The 6,741-nt window shown below is 43.8% G+C and overlaps 1 annotated feature.

Moving 5' to 3' along the window:
* Positions 6,362-6,539: a silencer, noted in NCBI's record as "fragment chr14:98741505-98741682 (GRCh37/hg19 assembly coordinates)". NCBI's record gives its function as "represses an EF-1alpha promoter that drives an FKBP-Casp9 reporter gene in an ReSE screen in K562 erythroleukemia cells {active_cell/tissue: K562}" and the evidence as "EXISTENCE:reporter gene assay evidence [ECO:0000049][PMID:32094911]".

Below are 6,741 nucleotides of genomic sequence, written 5' to 3'. Positions count from 1 at the left end.
GACTAAATATTTGTTACACTCCATCTTCTCAGCATTTTCACTGTTTACTTTTGTTAAAACAGTAATTGGCATTCGCAGCTGGAGATAATTTACTGTGTATAAAACTGCTTTCTTAGAGGCTTTGTCGGGTAGGTCAGACCGACTTAGTGTTCCCACTCTGCAGATCAGGAAAGAAAGGCACGGAGAGACTTGTCTTAGTCAGGGGGCAAAAGCAGGAAGAGGGATGCAGCCGACCCCACTCAGCTTTCTCCTGTCAGTTTCAGGACCCCTCCCAGAAGTGCTCAGCTGCTACAGTGTCCCTCCCCTGACTTTTTTGAGAGATGACAAATTATATTCACTATTGTCCTAAAGTGGTTTTCATTTCTGATTACTTAATTTGCCCAGCGTTTGCTTTAAAAGATTTTCCACGGCAGGCTGTAGATGTTTGCGGTTGACTTTTTGACATTATAACACTTTAGTACAAAGGAAGCTACAGAAAGCAACAATGAAAACATTTACTAAGTATGTTTATAATCAAATGTATTCCTCAGTAATTTAATTTGGAGGAAGCAGAGAGCCCGGCATTACAAACAGAGGGCTCGTTAATAATTCATCAGTCCTGAAACAGGGAGGCTGGAACGAAGATTTAGAATCCTGCCACAGTGAAGGAAGATTTAGAATCACGCTACAGTTGGCTTCCCTGCTCAGAATGCACCTCTGCCCACTGAGGAGCTGGGATATTCAACTAGCAAGGGCCTCCAACAGCTTCAACGTTGCTTAGTTTTGAACGGTAGTCTTAGGAGAGCTCAGATTCTGAGGGATCCAATTCAGGGATGAAGAGGAGATGGTGGTTGGGGGAGGCTCAACAGGCCTGGCTTGCCACCCCGCTCATGAACACCAGGTCTGAGAGGTGGGTCTCCAGGCAGTGGTGCAGCCTGGGCAGTCATGCCCCTGGCATCCCTTATGCAAGGCCTTTGCTGTGGGTGTTGCCGAACGTCTGGGGCACAGAATAAATGGAAATAAGAAAACATGCTTCATTCTGCCCAAGCCTACAATAGGCCGGGCTTCAGCTTGGAAACACACACTAGCTCTACAGTCTGGAAAAGGCTTTCACACTCATCGGCTTATTCATGGCTCACTGCCCCCAAGAAAGACAAGAGGTGCCTCTGTGGATTGGATCCCTTGTCAGGGGGAAGGAAGTCTCAGAGTGGCAGTGGCTTGATCAAGTCTCAGGCCAAGGGTGGGGTGGAGGGCAGACGGCTACCCCAAGATCCCTGCCTACAAGTGGCTTTCTGTGACCACAGGAAAAAAAAGAAGAGATGTGTCTTGTCTCTTGTCTCACATTTGTGTATTTTCCAGATTAACCCATGATCTAAAAGATGAGAGAAAGAGGCTTGATCAACTTCTTGGAACTTAGTCATTTAAGGAATTATCAAAAAAAAAGTCAAAAAAGCAGGCAAAAGATTAAACAAAACAGTTTTTCTATGGAACAATAGTTCTTAGAAAGAGGAACACAAATGGCTTTTACCCATAAAAAATATACAAAATTTACTTGTAATAAGATAAATGCAAATTAAAACTATTATCAAATATTAGTTTTCTCCTATCAGATTGGCAAAGGTGAGTCTAAAAACACATTGCGTGGGGCAGAGTGTGAGGAGCTATGCAGAGTATTTCATTGCTGCTGGAAGCGCAGGTTACTGCAACACTAGTGCAGAGACGTTCAGCAGTGACTAGTTAGAATAAAGCTTCACAAACACTTTGAGCCAGCTATTTTATGAAGACTCTGTAAAGCAAATGTATAAAGAGATTTGTTGCAACATAATCTGTAGAATCAAAATACAGTAAATGCCTTAAATATTCACAATAGTAGATAGCCATTAAAAAAAAATTCTTCAAGTGTGTGTGTGTATATGTATGCATATATATATGAAATTAAATAGATATATTTAATTGTATTATCTATAAATATATATGTGTGTGTATATATATGGTGTATACACACACATATTCAGAGATATACAAGCACACATCGTACTAATATGGAATGCTCTACCTAAGTGAACTAAACATTAGTTAAGACAGGTGTATGTATGGAGCACTCCTATTTAGGTAAAAGTAATTTTCACACACGCACACACATGCCTGGAGTCCATATATTTGCAAAGAACTAGAGAACTCAAAAATAGTAAGGTATCAAGAAGTGACATACACCTTTGTAGTATTAACTATCATATGCCATCATCTATTTAAGTAGGTAAAATTGATATTTAAATACATATATGTATATCGTATAAGCCTAAATTAAAATTAGAGGAGAAGGAAATATAAAATGCTCTGGCAGCCACTGTTGGCTGCCCATGCAACAACCATCCCTTCCTTTTGGTAACCAAATCCTACTTTTATTTCTACTTCCCCTAAATGCATCAGGGGAGAAAGAATCCAGCTTCAGCATGGGGGCCTTGGAACACGACAACCTCTGCAGTCCCACTCCACTATTTCATCTGCGTCTTTCTGCAGTACTTGGAACTGTGCTCACAACATGCTGAGGAAGGTGGAGTGTGAAAATATTATGGAGCCACAAAACCTACCTGCCCTGTCCCTAACCTTCTTGCCAGGGGAACTCACACATCCCTGGGTGCTTCAGCTGTCTTGAGTTGGATTTTCCGTGAGCTATAGTAAGAAGTGTCCTGACTCACCCAATGCTCACCCAGCCTGCACGTCACTGCCCCAGCTGTCATTTGGGTCCATAGTTCATCATTTCTGGCTAGGGGGTCCATGCCTTTCTGCTTCAGCAAACCCAGTGGCAGATAATTCACCACTGTCTGTGGCAGTCAGCATCTCTCTGAAGAGCTCATTCTGTTGCAATGTTCTTCCTCCCACCAAATGGGAGCATCCTCTGTGATTTTTCTTTCCAAGGGCCCGAGGTATTTCTCCCTTCCCCTCTGTCCATATTCTCTCATCTATCCGTCCATCTATGCAAGAACTCACCACAGAGGGCCCAAAATGAGCAAGGAATTTGGCGAAAACACAATCCAGGCCTTTCATTATAGTTCTTCAGCTATTTGAACATAGTTCATGCCTCTAATAGTCAAGATGTTTTCTTTTTAAGTTGACCTTTATGTTGGATAGGTGCTGATGTTTTATGCTGTCTGTATCTCAGTCACTCCCCGCTGAGTATTCTCTCTGCACATCCTCTGTGAAGCTTGGTGTTCAGAATTAAAGACAAAATGCCAAGTGTGGGCTGGCTGGCACAGACCAGAGCAAGGCAGTCACCTCCCTTTCCTGAGACACTACCACTGTTAATATAGCCCAAGTGCATGAAGCTGTGTGAGGGCTCCCATTACCATGTGGATGAAGTTTGATTGACCGCTAACTTTTCCTAACTCTAAGTGGCATCTACCATTTCATCTCAGTACAATTGGTCCCCAGGACCCAAGAGCTGAGCATTATCTGCCTGGGATTTGTGTTCAACTTTTTCACTTTAAACCATTTTCCACTCACAATCCCTGGCCCCCACCTCACTCCCATTTCAACCATAGTCCCTCACCACCCCTTCCCCATTTACAAAACACATGTTTCCTGGCTGAGCTCTGATTGTGGTATTTTTTTTTTCTTTGCACTGTGTCACCCATGGTACAATCAGGGCTCCTCTTTCAGTAAGATGCTGATTGGTCAAAAATGGCTTCCAGTAACTCAGCCTTTGTTTTGTAAAAACATTATTGCAACATTGTATAACACTTTAGAAATGTTTCAAATTTAGGCTGGCTGGTGATTTAGCAGACTAGGGGGCTAGCATATGGAATCTGCTATGCTCAAGAGACTGTGGTTCCATTCCTGGCACCACCAGGCAAGGCAGGCTTAGCAGCCGCAAGGACCTTCCCAGCATTCAAGCTGGCGAGGACGCCAGGTATGGTTCTCTCCTTTGCATCAGAAGCCAAGTCTTGTGGGCACGTGGGAGAGAAAAAATTTGGATATCCCGAGGCAAGCAGTTTCTAACAGGCTTGGTGCATCTACATCAGTCATTCATTCAGATTTTACTTGGCATCTACAGCATGCCAGGGACAAAGATGTTGAGGTGTATGAGACAAGGTCCTTCTCTCAAAGCATTCATAGTCAAGTCAAAGGTATAAATAAGAGAATAAAAATTACAGATGGGGTTGATGATTCAGGGCAAGGGTGTTTGGAGGGTGGGTACTTGGGAGTGGCAGTGAGAGACTGAGGGGTTCACAGAAAAGATGATAGCTTATTTGAGTTTAAGATTTTATCCTAAATATATTTATGTAAATATTAACTTCAGTTAATATTTATCGAGAATCATAGGAAGTAGGAGAGGAATACTTCACGTAGAAGGAATTCCATGCAAAATCTTTGTGTAACAGTAAAAGTTGTGAATTGGAAATAGCAAATATCTTTAACCGTAGCATGTGTGTGCACCAACTACGTGGTCATGGGCCATCAGGTCACCTGGGGAGCCCCCGGGCTTTAGCTTTCTGAAGGGACACTCATTTGCTCTGACCTGAGACCTCACATGAAGCTGGCATCTTGTACAAAAGCACCCGTGTCACTGTCTCACTGCCTTCTCGAGTACCTTCGGTAATAGAAGGTTTATAATAATGATACATTTGGAATGTAAAGTCAGAAGTTCCAGCCTGGCTTTGGAGTTTGTTCATGATGAGTCCTGAAGGTTTACATCATTTGTTGTGCCCTGCACAGCCTCGGTTTCCTCGTTAGAAACAAGTGAGTGGAAATTAGTACCTGCTTCATAGAGATGGTATCAGGATCAAATTATCATGTGGAAGAGGACTTGGTGGTCTGGAACATGCTTTGTAAATGGCAGCTGTCTTGTAATTTCCTTTTCTGTAAGCATGCTGATTATTCGATGTCCACGGTGAGGCAACTGGTTTCCTCTTTGGAGATCTCTGAAAAACAGGGAATAATTCCTTATATTGAGCCCCAATATTGCACTCTCCATGATTTCCCAGCCACTGTTACTAGGGCTGCCCTTGGGGCCACATAGAATAAATGGAACCAATCTTGCGTGACAGCCATTCTCTGCTCTATAGGCTGCTTTCCTGAATCCACATTTTCTGTTCTTTCTTCCAAGTCTGTCACCCGGGACTTTGATGAGCTGAAGAGTGATGTGATTTTGCCTAAGACTCTGTTGAGGTTAAGTGCTTGTCTCGTTCATCGGTCTCTTCAGGAATTCTTCTCTTCTGTAAAATGAGAGGTCGGAAAAGCAGATGATGTGCTTTCTGAGATCCTCCTGGTTCCAGCCTAAATGTTCTGGAATTTCTAGATTATTCTTGGAAGTTCTCCACAGCTGGAGGGAATCAGGAACGTGCAGATAGAGTGAGAGTGGGTCACTGTGTAGGACCACAGGAAGAGGGAGTGGTCCTGGTCCTTCCCAGCCCTCCTGGAGGGAACTCAGAGCACTGTGCCTCATCCATCCACTGAAAATCCAAGCGAGGCTGAAGATGGCATCAGGACAAGAGGGGAGTCTTCAGGAAGACTCAACTTCTGAATGAGAAGACAGAGGCATACAGCATTAACCTCCTGATGCACGAGTGTCACCCAAGATCATGTGACACCTCCTTCTTCCTCAAGAGACTTGGACTGGTCAGCCTTTCATGTATTGATTGCTTTTGTTGATTCTCACCCTCTGATATCCAGAAGGAATGAAAAGGGCACAGACAAAAAGAAAAAGGGGGGAGGAATATTTCACTTTCTGCCACAGTATATTATTGGTGTCTCCCTTTTGTAATAACAAAACAATGACAAAAATGCTATCAGCAGTGTGGGAGCTTCCAAAGAGTGGGTGGAAAAATCCCACAGGAGTAGGAAGGGAGGATATTGAGGAACTCAATGACCTTAAGGGTTCACCCTTTCCAATTGCTCCAAATGCCTCATGTACTCCTTAATAAATGGGCAAAAGAAGGTTTCCCCAAGAGGTTTATAGGGAAAAATATAATCCAGGTACAGAAGTGTTTCACTGGGATCCTTTAGGGATGTCAGCACAGGGACAAGTTCTTTGTATTCAGAGCTGGGATGATAGGCACAAACCACCGCAGAGGGTCAGGATAGGATTGGTAAAATGAATGGGCTTAAGCCAAAATCCTGAGAAAATGCCAAGGGTGAAACCCAGGAAACCAAAATCATACGTTGCGGGCGGTCCCTTCTAAATACTCCCCTCTAGCTCTTACACATTTGCGTTGGAAAGCACCTCCAGCTTCCAACTGTTTGTTTCCTGCCTCCTGTATCTACACAAGCAGAGTGTAAGCATCAAGAGAAAAGGAACTACATCCAATCTCTGCCGTTTTCTTGCACCTCCTAATAATTTCACAAATGCTTTTTGAATAAATGAATAAAGTGCTGTGTCCTGAGCAAGATTGAAATAGAAAGAGAGGAACCAGGCTTATCTGGACAAAGAAAAGGAACAAAAGAGAGAAAGGTGTGGCCGCCAGTGGGTGAGAGGCTGGGCAAGGTTTGTGGGCTCCCTTCCAACCTATTGAGGGGACAGGCTTGGAGCAGATGCCAGCAGACATTCTTATGAATCTCTGAAAGCCAGGCTGGCCATGTGAGCTGCCACTGGGCAGGGCGACCACAGTGTCACTATGTAAGGGCCTAATCTCATTAGAAGAGAGATGCATGGGTCTGCAGGGAAAGGGGCTTTCATTAAGGGAGTGGGGCTGCTGGGGCCATGTGTTTACTGGAAATTGAGCAAAGTGACACCGTCAGTCCAGAGTAGAAGCAACAGAAGAG

This window comes from Homo sapiens, chromosome 14 (genome assembly GCF_000001405.40).
Source record: "Homo sapiens chromosome 14, GRCh38.p14 Primary Assembly".
In the NCBI taxonomy this organism is placed as follows: Eukaryota; Metazoa; Chordata; class Mammalia; order Primates; family Hominidae; genus Homo; species Homo sapiens.
This window is presented reverse-complemented; position numbering and strand designations above follow the sequence as displayed.